Raw genomic sequence first — 23,155 nt, forward strand, 5'->3', positions numbered from 1 at the left:
TTTGCTGGAGGCAAGAGGAAGAAACAAAAGCATCCAAATAGCAAAAAAAAAAGAAAAAAAAATCAGACTATCTGCCTTCACTGGTGATATGATTTTATACCTAGAAAACCCTAAAGACTCTCTCAATAAGTTATTAGAACTGATCAACAATTTTAGCAAGGTACTAGGATACAATCAATGAACAAAAATCTGTAGGAGTTCTATACACCAATAACTAAGAGCCAAATCAAGAACACAATTCAATTTACAACAGCCACAAAAGAAGTAAAATACCTAGGCATAAATCTAACCAAGGAGGTAAAAGATCTCTGCAGGAAGAACTACAAAACACTGCTAAAAAAAAAAAAAAGGGAACCCTTGACAAAAATAAGCACTGTGGAAAGGACTCCCTATTCAATAAATGGAGCTTGGATAGCTGGTGAGCTATATGCAGAAGAATGAAACTGGATACCTACCTTTTACTACATACAAAAATTAACTCAAGATGGCTTAAATATTTTAATGTAAGAACTAAAACTATAAGAATCCTAGAAGAAAACCTAGGAAACACTATTCTGGACATCACCTTTGGCAAAGGATTTATGATTAAGTCCTCGAAAGCAATTGCAACAAAAATGATCATTGATAAGTTGGACCTAATTAAACTAAAGAGCTTCTGCACAGCAAAAGAAACCATCGACAGAGTGAACAGATAACCTACAGAACAGGAGAGAATATTCCCAAAATACGCATCCAACAAATGTCTTATATTCACAATCTACAAGTAGCTTAAAGAATTAAACAAGCAAAAACAAAAAATTCCATCAAAAAATGAGTAAAAGACATTAATAGGCACTTCTCAACAGAAAGGGATACAAGTAGCCAAGAAATATATGAAAAAAATGCTTAATATCACTAATCATCAGAGAAATGCAAGTCAAAACCACTATGAGATACCTACTCACACCAGTCAGGGTGGCTATTATTTAAAAGTAAAACAACAACAGATGATGGGAGGCTGCAGAGAAAATAGAATACTTATATACTCTTGGTGGGAATGTAGATTAGTTCAGCCACAGTGGAAATCAGTTTGGAGATTTCTCAAAGAACTAAAAATAGAACTACCATCTGACCCAGCAATGCCACCCAAAAGAAAATAAATTGACTGAAAAGACACAGGCACTTGTATGCTCACAGCAGTACTCTTCATGATAGCAAGGACATGGAATCAACCTAGGTGCCCATCGGTGGTGGAGCATATAAAGAAAATGTGGCACATATACACTACGGAATACTACATAGCCCTAAAAAAGGAAATTGTGTCCTTCTTAGCAACCTGGATACAGCTGGAGGCCATCATCCTAATTGAATTAACACAGAAATAGAACAACAAATATTACATATTCTCACTTATAAGTGAGAACTAAATGGTGCATACATGTAGACATAAACTTGGGAACAAAAGACACTGGGGAGTACTAGAGGGGGCTGGCTGAGAGGGAGCGTAGCAAGGCTGGAAAAACCAACTGTTGGGTGCTGTGCTAACTACCTTGGTGACAGGATTAATTGTACCCCAAACATCAGCATCATGTGACATACCCATATAATAAACGTGTACATGTACCCTTTGAATCTAAATAAAAACGGAAAAATAAAGAATGGCAAAATTAAAAGAAAAACAAACAATACATTTTGCTAAATGAAATAAGTCAGACACAAAAGGACACATGCTATATGATTCCACTTATATAAGGTAGCTATAACAGTCAAATTAATAGAGACAGAAAGTTACATGGTGGGTGCCAGGAGCTGTGGGCTGGTGTTTGGGGAGTTAGTGTTTACTGAGTACGGAGTTTCAGTTTGGGAGGATGAGAAAGTTCTGGAAACAGACGGTGATGATGTTGCACAAAAATGTGAATGTACTTAATGCCAAAGATGGTTATAATGGTAAGTATCGTGTTCCATATTTTTATTACAACTACAATAATAAAAGATATGTAGGAATTTGCCAGATGAACAAGATGAAAAAGGGCATTGCCATGAAATAAACATAATGAATCTGAAAAAAATAAAAGCATCTTTGATTGCAAAAGAGCAAATTGCAAATATCCAAAGTAATCCTTGTAATACACGTGACATTATAAATTTTACGATGCAGTGCCTATGATTCACGCACACTGTACCTGAACCAGCTGTGAAACATTCATGAATCATAAACTCCTGTATCATCTTCAGAGCAAAAATGCATCCTATTTTACAAGAAATATTCATCAAAAAAGGGAAAGAGAAGTAAAAACCCTGAAATTTCTAGAACCTTTCAAAGATATCAGAAAAACAAATCAATACCTCTGACAGGACCTGTTAATTCAGAGGGTCATGCTGTAAGACAGCTTGCATTTAATTCAAACTGTTTTGGAACAAGATCAATTCTGTAGTGAGATCAAGGCAGCAGAAATTTTTCCTCAGGGCTAAAAATAATAATTCCTTGAGGCCCAGACATTAAATTCCATGGCTTCTTGAAACTATTCAAAAATGAGAAGAATGGATAAAGATTAAAAGAAAACACATGCTGCAAGCTGACAAAACACCTTTTTAGACTTACACCCAATTCGTTCATTAGTCAAATGTGTGGTTTTTTTTTTCCCTTCAGGTAACTGGAGGTGTCAACATTCAACTTCTTGGTCTGTTTCTCGTCATTTTCTATTTTCTCCTGCTATTTGTCTCTGAGCTGTTATACCTGTTATTGCAGTTTCCAACAAGAAAAAGCCAGGAAAAGGAAAGAGAATCAAAGCATCAGAGCGAGTCACCTCACTGGGAGGTGGAACCAGAAGTTTTAAAGCAGTAGCAAAATTTGTATGTTCTGGGTGTCAGTGGACACTTTCTGTATAATAATTTTATTTTACTTTTGTTAAGAATCATGAAGCAACCACAAAAAATTAAATCAAGGCTTATCAAGTAGATGTTTGAAAGAGAAACAATGATTCACCTTATAGGTAGATGTACTTTGCTATTGAAGGGATTGTGGGCAAGTCTAAGCAAAGCTGAAGGGAATAAGGAAATTTCATTCCTTAGAGAAGACAGCATAGAATAATAGTACAGAGAGTGTAGGGTAGAACAGCTTGCATTCTAATCCCACATCTGCAACAGGATTCTCTTTGACATAGGAAAAGTTACTTCTGCTTTGTTGGGAGTATTAAAAATGGAGAAGTTTTCAAGTGCTTAGTGTAGTTCCTGGCTTATGATAGCATCAATTAAAATTAGGTATTGATGCTATTATTATTAATATTGATCTCTTAGCCATCTATATCTTCAGCATCCAAAGTGTCAGTTTGTTCTTTAAATTGCAATTGACCCTTTTTTCTCAATAGAATAGCTAGTAAAATAATAAAGTGGAATTTCTTGGAATGTATCCATTCTCCTCTTTTACATTTCATTTTTTTATTCATTATTTCAAATGCCCAGTACCTTCTTGTTCACCCTAAAATCTTTTATGAGTTTATGAGTTAACAGGAAAACAGATTCCTTTTAGAAAATTGGAATAAAAAGAATTACCATTTTTTTTTTTTTTTTGAGACCGAATCTCGCTCTGTGGCCCAGGCTGGTGTGCAGTGGCATGATCTCAGCTCACTGCAAGCTCCGCCTCCCAGGTGCAACTGATTCTCCTGCCTTTGCCTCCCAAGTATCTGGGATTACAAGCATGCACCAACACACCCAGGTAATTTTTGTATTTTTAGTAGAGACAGGGATTCACCATATTGGCCAGATGGGTCTGAAACTCCTGACCTAAGGTAATCCAACCCCTCAGCCTCTCAAACACTTTTTTCTACATTTCAAACTCTTTGCAATTTACCTGCTATCTCATTTAATCTCCTCTTCCCTACACTGAAGACAATCAACCTCCCTCCTATTAACCAACCACTTATCCTGCCTCCTTATGTACCTTAAATACGAAAGATAAGATAGTCCCCATTATTTTAATAAATATTTATTGAATATATTCTTGACAAGTAATCCTGCTTGTATTTTTAGCTAGCTAATGTGAGATACATCTTTGACATGGTTAAATGTATGATCCCTTAATTAATTTAATATAATAAACTAATGCTACATTATAGGGGTATAAACACTTTTAAAAATATATTTTCTATTTTAAAGTTGGCTTTATACTTAACATAAATATAATGGACACTTTGTTTATTTTTGAATGATTATCAATCATTCAAAGGTCAGTACATCTGACCTTTCACAAAAAAAGTAAAAGGTCAAATGTAAAAATTGTAGGTTTTGTGGTTCACATATAGACTCTGCATATTATTCTTTAATTTTTGTTTTTGGTTCCATATTTTTGTTTGTTTATATGTTTCTTACAAACCTTTTAAAATACAAAAAATATTCTATCTTACTTGTCTCTCAAAACATAGGCCATTTAACCCAGGAACTGTATTTGGTCAATCTGTGCTTCACTGTAAATGTTCTTTGTTATTTTAAAAGCAATACGGACATATTTCAAGTAAATTATTGTTTTCACTACCACTCATTTTCAGATGTAAGTCCACAGGTTAACATAAATAAGAAAGTAGCAGCCAAAAACAAAAAAAAGAGAGAACAGTAAGAAAAACATTTTAAGTCAAAGGAAAATTGCCAGCTTTTATCTTCTCCTAAATCCCAATCCTTCACTCCTAAAGGAACACATTAAGTGCAAAGGGGGTCATACTTTTATTCCATTGCAAAAAGGGTCATACTTTTATTCCATTCCCCATGTATACATTTGTTATCCATTTGGCAAATTGTGGTTGAATTTCTCTTGGGATGACCTCGCCAGCAGTAGGTGAATGGATCATTTGATTCAACACTAGTTCGTAAGTGATTGTTCTTTTCAATCAGGCACACACTCACTGCTGATAACTGCATATTTTGACTATTTGTAGAAGTGTTAAAGGAACTAAGAATTTTATCGTAAATAAGCCATGTTGGAACAAATATCAAGGCCTTGAGAATAATATACTTTATACCTTTGCTCAACATATAATGTAGGAAAATATCCAATTAAGAGTCTAGAAATGGAGTGAGGAAGGGCCAGCTGAGTATTTTGTTTAATTTTTAATTGTTAACTCTTATAGTACCTTCATAAAGTTTCCAAATCTTTTCCTTTTTCTTGCTTTTGCTGTAAATACAAAAGTCCAAGCCTGCATTATATTATACTCAGTTTGAATAAGGAATATCAGCTCCTTAAGAATAAAATGAAACAGTTTTATTCTTCCCAAGATCTTTTCAGGCTTTTATATTGATCATCTTCATTTCTGCTGTGTAGCTGGCTTCATCAATGATGTCTCAATTTATGTCTATAATTGTTATTTTGCAAAACTGTCTCATTTTAATTAATATGATGCCTTACTCATTATTTTTAAATTATTTTCTTCATTATTTTAAAACTAATTTTATTTCTAAGGACTGGGAACAGGGTGGGTGGATGTGATAATCTCACACATGTTCTTGTCTTTTTTCCTTTTATTTTCCCTCTGGTGCTGGGATAGAGAGGATGAAGAAAGAAAAATGTATTCGTTAGATGAATTATCTGTATTGAGGTTGTTCTAGGATTACTGTGCTAGAGGAAGGACCCCCAATAAATTCCACCATTAAGAGGCTCAATATCAAGCAACAATCCTGTGATCTAGTGGCACTGTATGGAATTCTAACGTATCTTTTAGCTAATGTCCAGGTGGTAGTCTGTGTTACATCTTGATATGCATACCTCTCTTCTTCACATGCTTCAGTATCCTTTATTTTATTTATAATTAGAAGCACAAACTCTGAGATTTACGGATCCAGGCAGGACTGATCTCACCTACAATACTGGGCAAGATCTTCAAGGGGACAGTTGATGCTTTCTTGCCAACTGCCCACTCCACCACCACATTTCTCTCCAATGTTCTCTCCCTTGTTTTAGTTGTACTGACTCAAATCTAAGCAGCTATTTGATTAGAGTATTGAATGGTGATCTTCCCTGTTTTGTGTGAATTTCTTTGGGATTTTCTTCTCTCAATCCTTGCCAGACTTTTTTTGTAATAACACTGGACTAGCAACAATTTCAACCTCACCTATTTATAAAATAATGTTATCTAGTACTATTTGAGACCTCTCTTACTTGGATTTTTTGGAGTATTGTACTCAGAATCAGGAACTTTTTGAGATAAAATCTGAGAAATGAATAACTTTTGCTCAATTGTGCTTTATTCAGGTTCTTATCTGTATTCTATTCTATAATCTCCAAGTGAGGAAAATAGTCAATTCATATTTCTCTAAAGTGTTTCTTCATAAGAGCCTTAAAATAAATTGTATATATTTTAAACATTAGTACATTTACCCCAATATAACATCACAAAATTAACCTTTGGAAAATACAGAACTAATGTAATACAAAACATTCCCATCCCTCCAAAAACAGATAAAATAAAATATAATAGTTCTCTACAGCCTAATCTAAAAGAATGTGATGTAATGGATAGAGCACTGATTTATTAATCAAAGGGAGAAAAACTAATGTGGCTCATAAACCTTTCCATTTCTGAGTCTCATTCTTTTCATTTTCCCGATAATAATGATAATAAGATCGACCTGTTTGTTAGGGTCAGGTTAATGACCAAGTGAAATGATGCGTTATACATATGTCAAAGAAATATAGCCTCTTAAAAGAAAGTTAACGCAGCTGACATTCAGTAACATATCTCGGTTTGTAAGTAAAAAATTAGAAATAAACTCAAATAAACGATCAATACATATTATAGTAAAAAGTAATAATTTGAATTAAGATAACTTGTTGAACACTGATTTATCAAACTCTATTGAACTAACCCATTTTTTAAATTTATACTTTTGTTTGTTTGTTATTAGAAAAACATTTCCCTAGATAGAAGCTGCTCCACTATTCTGAAGGGAAGTAGAAACGATGAAAAGCAGAACTGGAGATGATCCATGATGGACATATAGTGTGAGTAAGAAATATATATTATTTGTTTTAAATCACTGAGATTTTGAGTTTGTGTATGTGTCCATAATATGAGCTAACTATCCTTAATGATACCATAAGTAAAGAATTTAAAGTAAATAAGATGTGCCTGACCGCATATTAAGTGCCACACTAAGTGTTAATTATAGCTCCCTGGCGGTAAACAGGGGACTGGTTCCAGACTTCTGAGTATATAAAAAATCCACACATACTGAAGTCCCACAGTGGGTCTTATGGAACCCTTTGTATACAAAAGGTTGGCTCTCCAAATAGGCAGGATTTATATTATATCTCTCAAAAAATCTGCATATAAATGGATCTGTGCATTTCAAACTTGGGTTGTGCAAGGGTCAACTGTGTTACTATTTTATGGGATGAGACGGCAGAGATGATACATGGAAATTTTGTGTTTAAAAAAGGAGAAATATGCAAATGGTGGTGGGGTGGGCCAAATGGAATGTGAGTTACATGAAAGGGTAATTTGGAAGGAAACAACGCTTTTGTGAAGAAAAGAAATACTTGAATATTTGAGTATAAAACATAGTTTTATTTAGTACCCTTGCCTCATCTTTAGTATGATAAAAATAGATAAAAAATTCAGACAGACAAAGAGGGAGGAAGCTGCTTGAGTGAACATACTCTGTTGATGTAAATACTCGAGGAAATTAGCTCTATATTGGGTGGTGTGCTGATGAATGCTTAACAAAAAAACTTTGAAGTGAAAGGCACTGATTTGTTGTATTTGATGATTTCTGTGGCATAAATATGCCCACCATAGCAATGTTTAGCTGGTAACATGACATAGCTGCACAGAGTCAGGAAGAGATGCACATGACTGGCTCTCACGATTTCGGCGCGGTCTGGCTCCAGCATTTGACTGTGACAAGTTTCACTGGCCGGTGAGAACGCTGGAGGAAAAAAATCTACCTATAACTGACCCTTATTAGCATAACAGGTTTGAGAAAGCAGAGCCCTATTTTCCTCAAGTGAATGCCATCAATACAGCCGTCAGGCAAAACTGCATTCATGCACTGAGGAAAATCACTGCTTCTCAAACAACTTTTGGATACCATAAAAGGCCCGTTCTTAAAAGGGGAAGTGGGAGGAGGGGAAACAAGAATTGTTGCCTGAAAAGAAACGACTTTGATCTCCATCAAAACAGATTAGTTTGAAGCCAATTTGCTGCTATCTTCAAAACTATATTTCCCCTCAAATTCTGTCTTCCAAATTGAGCAGTGCGTCAGCTGTAGGTAGTGCTAGAGTGTGAAAAGGATGAGGATGGAGGCAGCCAGGGTACCTCCAATGCATCTTGTTATTAGAAGACTTTTGAAGAGTAATTTGACGGGAGCTTTTCAACTTTTAGGTCACTAGTTTAAATGTAGTCTCAGTTGATCATGAACAAAAGTGGGTGGTTAGTGGCCTATGAAAAGTACCTTCATGGTATTACCCTTGTTCTTTCTAATAGAGACTGCCACTACAGTTGGCATCCTTTCTTTTCCTTCTACCAGAAGCACAAAGGGTGAATAGAAATGTCATTTCAAGTATTTTTTCAGCCTTTGTACCAGAGAAATTTGAAATATGAAAAAGGCCAACTTCTTTTCATCTTTAACTCACAGGTAGAATTATTGAACTATAATATGTTTCCTAGATCTTCCTGGATTTTATTAAAATGAAACCTGAGCCACTTTACAAGTAAAATTATGTCTTACTTCATAGAAAGTTAAATTACATAAAGGCACATACTTGACAAATATTTAAATATAAAATGTATAATTTCTTGACCTGAATCTTACACATGTAAAATTTATTTTGTTTTCCTTTTCTTTCTCTTATTTTTTTCTTGCTTCAATAAATGAGTTCCCATGAATGTAAAGACAAAGATCTTATTACTCCATTAAATGAACTATCTTAATATTTGATTTTTTCTATTCTTTATCATTACAATACTTTGACTTTTTTTTCCTCCTAAAGAGACTGTAGGTTTTATTCCCTTTCTTTTAATTATTTCATGAAAATCCTCCAAATTTCCATATTACTAATATCTCTACCTTCATATAATTTTGTTTCAATATTAAATGATCAATTAAAGCAAACTTTCTCTAAGTACCTGGAGAAAAGCAACAGAATAAATATTAGAGTAGAGACACAAAGTAGTACTTGGTAATGCCAAGAAAATTTCAGCAGCTATCAGTAATCAGTAGGATATAACAGAAATAGCCCTGTTTTAGAAGTGATGAAAACTCAATCAACTGATTTTAAGCAGCAGTTACTTTCTATGGGGTTAGCTTTCCACATCTCAAAAATAAGATTGATGTGTTATTTTTGCATCATTTTCAATACAAACATTCTATGAAATCTTCACTTTTATATCATCCGAATTTAAGTGACAGGGTGTTAATATTCGAATGGGATTTAAGCGAGATGTAGCTGTGCCTTATGTCACGTCAGCTGATGGTAAAGATTGATGCTGGGATTTTCCTGGGTTAGTCATGTTAAAATCTCCCCTAGGCTTTAAGGCCAGCTTCATGAATTCTCATATCAGCAACTTCTGCAATTACCACATAACACCAGAAGATAAACTCTGTTCTCTGAACATTCATATAGAAAATAGTACGTCATCTTATGATTCTTATGATTGGCATAGCAAAGTGAAAATATATCAACACCGTATTTAGCCCAACTTGAAGCTGCATATTCAGTCAAAGATAGAGCTTTTCCTGGCCAAAGATACTTTGGTCAGAAATATATAAACAGTGAACACCAAGCTATCATCTTGCAAGTAACACATATGCTCATGAATCTCTAGCTACAAATAAAAATATCAGCTAAAACTACCCCCTTCTTCTAAAGGAATAAAAACCACAGCAATTACAAGATTTGCCTATGGCCATAAAATGAAGTGGGGTTTGTCTCAGAATTAGAATGCCTACCATCAGCCTTTGAGTACAAAGTTAATTCCCCTACACAAGACTGCATCAAAAATAAATCCAGCTGGACAAAAGGCATACAAGACAGAAAATAATAGTCAGCTGCAGACTCTTTGGATCCAAAGTATAAAATATTCAAGTATGTGTTTCCAATCCCTTCATTCTCTCCTGTAATGATTGCAGCTAATCCCTGCCTGCCAAACGTTAGTTCTTCAATTGTGGCGATCAATAGAATAGATTAGCTGTGGAAACCCTCCATCCATATTACCCTTGCTTTCCTTTCCAGATGGAATTTTCATTCACTAGAGTGGAGGCAAGCATGTGAGGTTTCTCCCTCCATACACAAATATAAACTCATTAAATGCCAAGCTTGTCACTTTAGAATTTATACACACACACACACACACACACCAAGGAACATACCTGTAGATTTAATAAAACAGCACCAACCCTCATGGCTTCACTAATTTCAAGGCTATACATCAGCTGTGGGAAGCGAGGAGGGCTTTGATTATTTGGTGGAAGCACTTCAATATACACAGTGCAGATGGAGTTCCTGCAGAGAAAGAGAGGAAAAGAAGATGGTTACGAATCTGCATCACATTTAATGTTAGACTGCATTGTTTATTCAGTTGTTGGGTTTACAGGAGAAAAAATTTCCAAATTTTATGAAAAATAATACAATCAAAATGAAAGGATAGAAAAAACTACCACCAAAGTATAATGGTTTTATGAAATTATCTTAGTAAAAGTAATTGACTCCAGTATCTGTTTTTCCTACTTAGATTAATAGTATGAATTAAAATGGAATAGCTATACAAATAAAGCTAATAAATTAACTTGCCTTGACTTCTGACTTTGTTTTTAATGCTTCTCTAATAGCAAAATCATTCTATAAACATCTGGTAATAAAAGCTGTCCTTGGGGCTTTTTTGCTGTTAAACCAGCAGAGGGAGTATTGATTACAATAACTCACAAAACAAATTATGGGCTGCGTTTTATCAGTTCTGTTGCTGACATCAATGGCTTAATGTAAGTGCATGTGAGGAGTCAGGATCATAAAGAATCCTACGTAAAATAGTTGCAAACAAAACTAAATACGTTTTAAAATCTTCTCTAAAAAGCAATATATGATAAGCTAGGAATTAGATTTAATAAAGCCCTTATAATGACAGGAGCTTTTCTTGAAGGACAAGATACCTTATCATTACAAGGAAAAAAAATTAGCATTGACATAGTCAACTTCTTTGATATCTCTGAACTTTGAATTTGTTTTATAAAACAAAAACTGAAGAAGCATGTTAGTCAAGGTTTGTAAGGTGGAAACATTAGCTGAAATATATCAATGAGATCTGAAAATACATAAGGTTAGCCCTCTATCGTGAAAAAACATATATATGTATACATACACACACACACACACACATATATACACATATATACACACACATATACACACACACATACATATAACATTTTGTACAAACATACCACCACTGCCTAAGATGTATGCTTTGAATTTAACAAAGTCATGATTTAGTTCAAAACACATTTGTTATAATTTCTATTTGGGGATGAGAATCTTTATTTATTTATTTATTTATTTATTTGAGACGGAGAGTTGCTCTCCAGCCCAGGCTGGAGTGCAGTGGCATGATCTTTGCTCATTGCAACCCCCACCTCCCGGGTTCAAGTGATTCTCCTGCCTCAGCCTCCCAAGTAGCTGGGATTACAGGCCTGTGTCAAAATATCTGGCTAATTTTTGTATTTTCAGTGGAGATGGGTTGTGCCATGTTGGCCAGGCTGGTCTCGAACTCCTGACCTCAGGTGATCCACCCTCCTCAACCTCCCAAAGTGCTGGGATAACAGGTATGAGCACCACACCTGGCCTAGAATCTCCTTAAAGTAGTCCCAAACTCTTTATAAGATGCTTCAATTAAAAGACATGGTCACCAAAAATATTTGTCTGAGTTTATTAACTACAACATTCTACTTTTCAAAACCTTTTGAAAGAAATTCAGGCTGGGCACGGTGGCTCACACCTGTAATCCCAGCACTTTGGGAGGCCGAGGCAGGTGGATCATGCGGTCAGGAGATCGAGACCATCCTGGCTAACATGGTGAAAGCCGGTCTCTACTAAAAATACAAAAAATTAGCTTGGCGTGGTTGCGGGCGCCTGGGGTCCCAGCTACTTGGGAGGCTGAGGCAGGAGAATGGTGTGAACCCAGGAGGCCGAGCTTGCAGTGAGCCAAGATTGCGCCACTGCACTCCAGCCTGGGCAACAGAGCAAGACTCCGTCTCAAAAAAAGAAAAAAAAAAAAAAGAAATTCAGATCATAGGCACTAAAATTTCGTTTTATAGCTTGTCACTTTATAATATACCTAAATTCAAGTTGTTTCTGAGCATATCATCAGTAGATAGATACCAATAGAATAGTAAGCATAAAAGCTACAGTGACTTTTAAAAATTTCATGGTTGGGTGCGGTGGCTCATGCCTGTAATCTTAGCACTTTTGGAGGCCAAGGTGAGCGATCACAAGGTCAGGAGTTCAAGACCAGCATGACCAACATGGAGAAACCCCATCTCGACTAAAAAACACAAAAATTAGCCAGGCATGGTGGCCTGTAATCCCAGCTACTCAGGAGTCTGAGGCAGAAGGGAGAATTGCTTGAACCCGGGAGACGGAGGTTGTAGTGACCCGAGATCGTGCCATTGCACTCCAGCCTGGGTGACAGGGCGAGACTCTGTCTCAAAAAAAAAAAAAAATTTCATGCTTACATTTATCATGATATTGTTCTAAAGTAATCTCACTTTAAATTAAAATATTTTAAACTTTCATAGTTAAAATATCTGTATTCATTTCTGCCTCTGATTTTATCTATTTAGTATCAAAATTTGCCAATACAGTTAATCAGATTATATTTCTTAAATGGGTTCAAACTGATGATGAAATGTTGCTTATATACTTATAATTATTAATGTAAACATGAAACAATGGGAAGTTACAAAATGTATTGTATACTGCAAAGATTCCCACTTCCGTGTTGTGAGAACAAAAGAATCGTCATTCTGAGGTAGACCTAACATCCTTCCAGGTGGTGATCTGACTCCAGAAGCAGCCCCAAGATGTAAAACATTTTCCCTGATATTACCCTTGAAGATCTTGGCTTCTTTTAGGGTCTGTTGTTGATCAAGTTTTTAAAACATTTTATGAATCTCCTTCTTTTCTCTGATAGCACATTCTCTATGCATAACAAGTCCTACAACGTTATTGGTAATAAAAGTAGGTGAGTGATGTTGAACACAGAATTTGTAACCAGATATTCCTGAGTTAGAATTTTGACGCTGCCCTCAATGATCTAGAGCAAATTATTTCTTTCAGCTTCATTATTTCCACATAATAAGTGGGAATAATAATAACATCTAAGGTCAGCATAAAGATGAAATAAGTTTATATATTTGTATATGTAAGTACATGTATACATATATATGAAACATACTTTTATAACTTATTTTAATAAATTACTCAAAATAAGGCTTAAGGTTTCTTATTCCACTCTATGAATAGTGCAAACGATCTTGCATTTTCCTTAGCTACATCCTTTATAATACTGTAGATATTTTAATTGAATCCTTTCACTTGGCTAAATTCCTACAAAGGCTTGATACTCCTTCACCCCTCCTGAGCATGGGGTATGTTGGTGTTAGAATTTGAGCATGTTGTATCATAATCTTTAGGGTAGGATACAAGAATCTACAATTTTCACAAATTTCCAAAGTTCTACTTATAGAAACTAGACTTTGAAGACCACTGCTTCAGAATCTCATGAAAAGTACAATATGTAGACTCACCTGTTTTTTTTAAATTACCTCAGGAGAAAAACTCTACAAAGTCACTTAACGTCTTCAATAACCCTGGATCCAAGAGACTTCCTCACTGTTTAACATTTTTTTTTTTTTGACCTGGAACATATCTGTACTGCAGATTCGAAGCTTTCTTTCAAAAGCTAGGCCCTTTCTGCTTCGATATTCTTTAGATCTTCAGTTTACTGGTCAAGAATACTTTATAAAGGTTTTACAAGAATATCAGTGTCTTAAAGCTTGTGAAAGTATAGTTAAACTACACTTATTATACTTTTTGTATTTCTTTATTCCTTTCCCTTTCATTATCTTCCCATTGTAGAGGGTTAAAGTGAGACAATGCTACAATAAGGACCTTAAACTCGTATGAGTTACTTGGATACTTGTCACAGAGTCGAAAACTTTAAAATGCTGAAACAAAGAGGACTCTAGTCTCAGACAAAACACAGAGACAAATTTTAGCCCAACATGACCGTCTCCTTGATCCGTCCTTACTCCTTTGCTTCCTCTGTTCCTTTCCACAATAATTCAAAAGCTAGAATTGCTAATTGTGTTCCCCCACCCCCTTGGTCTTGAATGTTAGTTATTTGGAGGAGATCATATATTAAGGTCTTGTATTTTTCATCTTCAACATCCTGGCATGTCCCTATAATGTGTTTAAATAACCACCAGGCTTCTTGAGGGTTACTGCCTTTTAAAATGCTATCTCCTTTTTATCCCTGATGTCAGCACAGTGTCAGAGTTAGCTTTTCTAAAATTAAATACCCATAGTATTAACAATAAAATAATAGTATTTATGCTGTAATAAATAGTAGTATTTCAACAGCATCATTTAAGCACTTAATAAAATAGGGCAGTCACTATATAAATAACACTTTACGCAAGCATTTTGTATTCATATTTTATCGCTAAATGCATAAAACTGAGCATCTATATAAGAAAAATTTTATTTTTGTAATATAGCCAGTATGATGCAGATAAATCTCCATTTCTAAAAACGAATCTCATAAAGCTTTATTATATTTCACCTGGTAATAAAGGTCAAAGTAGCACAAAAGAGGTAATATATTTCTTATATACTCTTGAAACCTACCCAATAGTTCCATAAATATAAATACATATATACTTTTTTTTGATAAACATAGAAATTGACCCTTCTGGTCTTAAAGCTTGAAACTTAACATTTGTTTTATCTGAGCTCCTTCCTCAGGAAACAACCTTCAGGCCTCCCAAAAAAGGTATCAAAGAACTGAAACTCACCAGATCACCACATCCGATGAGATGCCAGACCCGTCATTCATTATGATTGCTTCCTAGCCCCTCCCTAGTTCCTGTTTTCTTACATATTGTTACATTTCTTCCCTGCTATGTAAACACTAACTGTAGTCAGTCAGTGAGTTGGATTTGAGATTGTCACCAATTTCCTTAGCTGCAGCACCAGATTAAAATCTTCTTCTTTGACAATTGTTGTTCAGTGATTGGCTTTTTGTATGACCAGCTGCAGAATCTAAACTGAACCCCTGGTGTTCCTGTGACAGATTTTCGTTACCTGACCAAGAACACATTGCTTGTGTCTTGGCTGCCTTGAGCCAAGAGTCTTAGAAGGCCTCCTAAGCAGTTGCTCACCCAATTTTCACTGGAGGTGTTTTGGTTTTTTTCTGGCCCCACAGCAGCTACCCCCAACTACATTCCTGATTGTCTAGTCAGAACAGCATTTGAAATTTGACATCTGCACCCGGATAGGTGAGTGTCAGGTTCTTTGTGGGCCTGGACAGCATGATCCCCTCCTCTCAGTTTGAGAATTTTTTAAAGAAATTTTTATTTGTCAGTTGAACAAGCCCAAATGACTGAAAGTGGGAAGCATCCTGTGTTAGTATGGACACTTTTTGGGGGTTTCAGTATGAACACTCTTGGGGGCTTGTTTGTAATTGTGAGGTGTGTGTGTGTGTGAGCAAGTGTGTATCTTTTGTGGGACTAGACAGTGGGATTGGCTCCTCTCAATTTGAGAAATTCCTAAGGAATTTTTCTTTGTGGGTTGGTCAAGCCCAACCAGTAGAAAGAAGAAGCACCCCGACTGTTTCAGTTTGGATGCTCTTAGGGCTCGTTTATTGTTTCAGCAGTAGGATTGTGTTGGCGATTGTGTGTGTTTGATATAGTCATAGCAAAGTAGAATTCAGTAAGCTAATATTTTCTGAAACACTGTTTGGCTCCAATATTCTTTGGAATCTGGAGTTTGCTATTGAATGGGAAAGCATGACAGAGTTCCATGTATCCAGACTTTTGTGCTACTGCTCTAACCATGGTCAGGCCTGGTCAGTATGTGATGTTCTCTTGTGATGCTGTTTGGTTCCAGTGTTCTTTGGAGTCTGGGGAGGTTTAGCCTTTAAAAAGCAAATTGCCATGAAAACTATTCTACCCAAAATTTTGATTCACAGCCTTCAATGGATTACCTACTGAGGTCAAGAAAGTGTGGCTATGTAAACCAGTGAGTTTCTATTGCTATATCATGGCTATAATTTTGAGGTAAAATAGATTGGATCTTTATGTGTGTTTATATGCGTCTTAATGGTTTATGTATGTTCATGTATTACGTTTTTTTTTGTCTACCAAATTGGTTTATAAATAAAAGAATACACATAAGTAAGCCCAAAGTATTTTTCAAGTTCAAATGAGTTAAGTCAACCACAATAAGCAAGCTGGCTTTAACATTTTTGATAAAATAAAAATAAAAATGCCTTTAGAATTGTCAGCATACATTTTTGCTGAGTTTTATATATGTCTCTGCTAGATATGATTGAGGTGTCATGGTTTGGCATAGAAGGTTATAGAACTATAAACCCAGCTAACATAAAATGATCTTGGTTTGTGTACCTTCTTTGACAAATGAGACTAATGTAATGTTGTTAGTTGATTCTTGTGAGTTAATGGCAAAAATACCCATATCTTTAATTTTAAGATTTAGTTGAGGACCTGACATTCATCAGCTATTAAAAAAAAAAGTAATGAACAAGGAAAAAGCTAACTTTAAATGATGGTGTCTAATATTTCAGTTTTCAGAAGAAATCTGGATAAACTATTAAAATGAAATAATCAAGTACTTGTAAATTGAATAAATGTTGTAGGTACACTTTTTGTGTAATATAAAATTTTTAAATTGTTTTTGGTGCTCATTGGGTGTCTGGGTCATTTCCAATTAAGAAAAAGTTATGGGGAAACATATTTCTAAAAATTGTGGAATGGTTCTCATCTGTAAAATGCTAATATCTGATAGTCAGCTCAGAATTTCTTGCTTCTCAGATGTTCACTAAAGTTTTGTTCACTAAAATTTAAGGCTACTAAGAATTCTAAAGAAGATGTGTTTTTATTGAGAAAACGAATCTGTTTGTCTAGTTCAGAAGTTATCTAAAGGCTAATTAAAATTATGGGCTTGAAATGGTTAGTTATGAAACAAGGCAGAAGAAAACCAATAAGTAGAAGAAAGAGATGTGTAAAAAGTTATAGATACGAAAATATATTTTAGGAAGGTGATAATGAAAAAAATAACAATTTTTATAAGAAAAGATTTTGTATGGTGAATGTTTGTCCAAAATTAAAATAACTGGTTATTAAAAAAAGAACAGAAAGAAAATCTAAGACAAAACAAAAGTCCAAGCATGTCATGGATGGTCTGTGTAAGTCATATGCCATTTTTCCTGTTTCTCTGTGTGTCTATCTTCATGCCTGTACAAAGAAAATACAAAGTTGAAAAAGCTTAGATAATAAAATATCCTTTAAAACTTGATAAAATAGGAATGCTTTGGCTAATTAGCATTGTTCATAGTTAAAGCTCATATCTTAATGAATGTAAAATATAAATTATTGTAAAGAAATACATTAGCAGTTTGGCAATTTTTTAAATATAGTTAAGCCCAAAGCTGGATGTAACATGGAGCCAAATTTCATAGTATATTTGCTATTCTGCATCACATACCTAAAGTGAATTTCTTAGTTACAGAAAATGTATAGTGGTACTGCTGGACTTAAAGACAGTAAATATCAAAAAACTGAATCAGGAATAAAATATCCATCAGGTTAATTTTTTTTGGCTCTGGGTAACACTGTAAAGCCAAAGTTAATTGAGTAGAAGATAAATTGAGGGTTGGACTACTGTTTATTTCTGCTTTTTTTTTTTTCTTGAGACAGGGTCTTGCTCTGTTGCCAGGATGGAGTGCAGTGGAGTGATCTCAGCTCACTGCAACCCCTGCCTCCCGGGTTCAAGTGATTCCCCTTCCTCAGCCTCAGTCCTCAGCTGGGACTACAGGTGCTGCCACCTCACCTGGCTAATTTTTTGTATTTTAGTAGAGATGGGGCTTCACCATGTTGGTCATGATGGTCTCAATCTCCTGACCTCGTGATCCACTCTCCGTTGTCACCAGGCTGGAGTACAGTGGCACAATCTTGGCTCACTGCAACCTCCACCTCCCAGGTTCAAGCAATTCCCCTGCCTCAGCCTCAGTCCTCAGCTGGGACTACAGGCATGTGCCACAACACCTGGCTAATTTTTTGTATTTTAGTAGAGATTGAGTTTCACCATGTTGGCCATGATAGTCTCAATCTCCTGAACTCGTGATCCCCTCTCCTCTGCCTCCCCAACTGTTGGGATTACAGGCATGAGCCACCATGCCTGACCTATTTTTGCTTCTAATTTTCATTTATTTGCTATTTGTTCTACTTAAATATACAAATATATACACATACACATATTTATATGTATACATATACACATAGGTATACATATATGTATATATATTTGTATACATATATATAATATATAAAACTATTGATGCTTTTTAGTTTCTAATGGAAAGCTTTTATTTGGTTCTATGAATAGTCATTTTGTTTTCTATGTATTTCCAACAATTCACCATTTGTTCTGTTTATTGAAAGTTCCTAAACTACCTTTGTCAAGCTTCAAAACATTGATGAAGGACAGCAGCCATTTAAATTTGATTGGTTTTTCTTACCTCTGAGTATATTGATAGCTATGATAATTTTAAGGTTCTTGGCAAAAATCTTATAAAAGACTTATTTTTATGAGTTCTAAACACAAATAGTACATTATATATTTTGTAATTTGGAAAAGTAGATGAGAATAGAAGTGTTTAAATGATGTTTATTTCCAATGTAATTCAATTCAATCAATAATTTCAGTTGGTTCAGATCCTTTCCTTTAGTGAAGAAAAACTGTGATATGGGTTAAAAGTTTTAATGTTCAGGAAAGACTGGGCTGTTTTTTTAAGAAAAATTTTATTGATTGGGATTTCTCTGAAACTACTTTCATTGTGTTTACCACTATTAACATTAAGTGACACTCAATTGAATTAGGTAGTAATTGCTTTAAAAATTGTGACACTTTGTTGTAATTTTTGATCCAAATCCATTTATCTCTGATGGGCATTCATGTGGTACTTGAAAACAAAATATGCACAAGTGTTGCACTGGTTTGAAGAGTTTGGTGTGAAAGTTACTTAATCAGTTGTAAGTACTGTATCTAGAAGTAAATCTTAGAAATGTGTGATGATGCTCTTTTAAGTAGCTGAAGAGAGATTATTATGTGGTTTTCACTTTGTCCTTGCTTTGTTGTATAGTATTTAAGTGAAATGAGATTGCTTATCCTTATTCTGAATTTCCAAAGCTGATATTTGCATTTGCCATTTTTCAATAATGGAAAAAAAAACAACATTAGTTGTCTTGCTTTCAAAAGTTTGTCAAAGGACCTATCAAAACTTTGATGCTTTTGGTCACAGTTCTGTCACTAAAATGCTAGCAATTAGACATATGGAATGAGTAACCTAACTACTTTAACACCGTGGTCAGAAGTGCTATAAGTAGTATCTGCTAAGCTCCAAGCCACTGTGTTTTAATTTGTGACATTTTAGAATAATAGGCTTTCTGTAGTATAAATATCCTATTAACTAATCCTTGTGCTGTTAAGTTACAGGTCTTTGAATCCTCAGTCTGAAGAAAGCACTGACTTCTGTTAAATTTTGAGCATTGATACCAGTCAAAGCCTCATCTTCAGACACAGGAGAAGGTGACAATCAAAATGAACTGCTTTCATGAGACACAGGGCCAGAAATTAAAACTATTCAATCCCTCTAGACCCAGGAACTATTGTGGAAACTGTAGGTGTGTGAGATGGTGAGGGACAATTTTGAGGGACAAACTCAGTTCAGAGTTTCTGTAAATTAAACGTTAATGTCAAAAGCACAATGATGCAAGGTCAGTGTCTGGGCCTATGTGTCAGAATAACAGGGTTTTCTTGGTGCATTGATCTGCTCTTTAATAGATAATCGTAAAAGGCTATAAGAACTTTGTCAAACTGATTAAAATTAGATAGATTTGTTTATAAGGTTTTATTAAAATTAGATTTAACATTAATAATATACCATACAAAGATACAATTTTGTTTTCTCTTTTGAACAAAAATTTCATGTAAGAGGAAACTGCAGGGAAAAAAAGGAGAGGGGAGAGACAGAATAAGTTGGCCTCATGCTATCTTAAGTATTAGGTCTTATTGCTTAAGAAACAGAGTCTCCTCTCTATCAAAAGGTAAATGTTTTTGTTTTATTATTTTGGCTAAATAAATGAATATTTTATAGTGACCTGTGATCCTATTTTGTGATATCGAGTGTCTTAAACCTTTGATACTCGACAGAATTTCCAACAGCAAAATTTCAAGTTCTAAATTCAGTCTTTGTGAACTCAAACCAACCTTTTTGGATATTAGTTGCCCTGAAGTTCAAGAGAGACATGTAAGGCTTATTAGGCTTAGTTGTTATGTTAGAATTATGCAGGAGATATTGTCAAATCTGAGGTGGTGCTAAGTTTCCTTTGGGTGATATTTATATGGATGGGTTGTTAAAATGTGTTTGAGGATTATATGAGATTCCTGTAATTCTGATATGTCTTAATATAAGTTGTCAGTAATAATTATGATTATTATGTTACATTGTTGTATGCCACAGAAATAACCAAATTTCTTTATCTACTGTGCCTTTAACTATGACTCTCTTAAGACTTTTGTCATCTACAATTATTGTTTTGCTTTGATCCTTCTCAAAAAGTGACTTATAATCAGCTACAGTCTAGGGATTGCTTCTTTGGTGTTCGTGAAAAGAACTTTTCAATGCAGGTTACTGATAACTTTGGAGATTGTGCCATTAGGTTAGAGAGGAAAATTCCAGGGCACTAATTGAAAGGCTGATGTGTTCATAAAGATTGTTAACCCAACATGAAGCAGAGCAATAATTGATTGCATGGACTAAACTAATGAAGGACTGAAATAATTTTTGTGGCTTTTATCTTTGGAATATTGCTGATTTTTTTGTTTTGTTTTTCAGAGTCTGGATAATTTTTTAGATCTACTTATAAGCTTTAAGTTATGCTTTAAGTATATTAAGTAGAGTATACTTTTGTAAACAGAACTTGAGGCATATTTTTTCTCTGCCTATTTTCTCCGGAATTATATTCTTAATTCATGTGTGTTAGTTTGCATACATTTAATGACAACTTGTTTTCTTGTATAATGGGACACAATTGGAGGAAGTGGTTATTTTCTTAGGGCTTTGAACTGAAATGGGCTTGGGAAAGGTTCCAGAAAAGCCAGTGTAGGTCCTATATAAACAATGAACCTTGTTGCACTTTGGGTGGTTAATCAGGCTAAGTATATGGGCCTGAAGCTTCTTTTGCAAGTAGATTTGTCCTGCTATGACTTGCCTTTGTTGGAAGTTGGGGGGCTGAAGAGAAAATGCTGTGTTTCAGAAGAAAATGATACTATTAGATTAGCCTTTGATTTCTGGGTGGCCGTGAAATCACCTGTAGTATGACGCTGCCCACGATGCCCCTCCTCAGTATTAAGCAGCCAGAAAGACTGACAACCAGTTTCCCCATGATTGAAAATTGATAAATAGAAAGGGGGGACTGAAACCGACCAAACAGTCCCATAGATCACTTTTTCGATAAACATAGAAATTGACCCTTCTGGTCTTAAAGCTTGAAACTTTTGTGAATTGTTTTCTGTTTTATGTGAGTTCCTTCCTCAGAAAACCACTTGCAGCCTCTCAAAAAAGTATTAAAGAAATGAAACGCACCAGATCACCATATTCAGATAATGAGATGCTAGACCCCTCATTCATCATGATTGCTTTCTTGCCCCTCCCTAGTTCTTGTTTTTTTACACATTGTTACATTTTTTTCCCTGCTATATATTCCCATAATTTTAGTTGGTCGGGAGGATGGACTTGAGACTGATCTCCCATCGCCTCAGCGGCAGCACCCAATTAAAGCCTTCTTCCTTGCCTATAATTGCTGTGTCAGTGATTGGCTTTCTGCATGGTTAGCAGCAGGACCTAGACCGAAACCTTGGTGTTTTCGTAATAATCTTATAATTGAAAAAGATCCTTAAAACAATGTAATTTAAGTCTCATTTTACAAAAGAGGATTTTAAAAATGGAAAAGATTTGCTGACTGAATCAAGATTATAACATTAATTAGCAACAGCAGATAAACTAAAATACAAGGCTTCTGAATTCAAAATCTGCTTTCCATTTCTCCCTACGTCCTACAAGAACAAATATGTAAAATAAACTGGAGAATTTTTACTTATCTATGTGTGAATATAAAACATTTTTGGTTTGTAATAAAGGATGTTACCTTACAGGAAGCCATAAATTATTTCAAGTCTGAGGTTCAGACTATGAAGTCACAATTTTAAATTATTAATACTGTGAATCAAACTTCATCTATAACACTTATTGTAAGAATAACATAAAATATGAATAAAGAAGAGGGTTGGAAAATAGACTTAAGATACTTTAAGTTTGGGAATGATATAATTATAAAAAGACAACTTTTTCATATGACAATAGTAATTAGTAGTAATGAGATAATGTTGCTAGCTTATAGAGGATTGTATTATCTTATTATTATTTTCTATTATATATGTCAATATGTGCTACAAGGAGTCTATTTGTAATTCTGCATTTCTAGCTTATTTCTAAGATGAAGGTTACAGATATTTATATTGCTTTTTCTGGTAGATTTCAGACAGATTAATTACTGTTTTTGTTTTCCTTTGTCTTCTACCAATATTGTGCTAGAAAAGCTATGTTTACAGTTTGATGTTCACAGATTGTATTCTATTATTTTTGAAATACATATAGAAATCTACAAGAGCAAAAACTTCACATTGAAAACCAATATAGGAGGACAGAGAAAACTTTTCTGGAGAAGTTACAGGGCAGAGTTTTAAGATAGAAGATGTATTTATATATAAATACCACAGAACATTAATAGACAGAGGAAAACTCACATGTCAATTTACAGAAGATTAAAGAAAAGA

The 23,155-nt window shown here is 34.7% G+C and overlaps 1 protein-coding gene across 20 annotated transcripts in view; it reads right to left on the reverse strand.

Annotated features, from left to right (window-relative positions):
• Window positions 1-23,155, reverse strand: part of PCDH15 (protocadherin related 15) — a 1,825,172-nt gene that overhangs the window by 319,769 nt on the left and 1,482,248 nt on the right. For 19 of the 20 annotated variants that reach the window (XM_047425663.1, NM_001354420.2, NM_001354429.2 and 16 more), the window contains one exon: window positions 10,336-10,468. The exons of the other annotated variant lie outside the window; for it this stretch is intronic. In XM_047425663.1, the coding sequence (XP_047281619.1) occupies window positions 10,336-10,468 (133 nt within the window). The remainder of the gene's footprint in view (window positions 1-10,335; window positions 10,469-23,155) is intronic. 20 annotated transcript variants of the gene reach the window in all.

Source organism: Homo sapiens, chromosome 10, assembly GCF_000001405.40.
Source record: "Homo sapiens chromosome 10, GRCh38.p14 Primary Assembly".
Taxonomy (NCBI): Eukaryota; Metazoa; Chordata; class Mammalia; order Primates; family Hominidae; genus Homo; species Homo sapiens.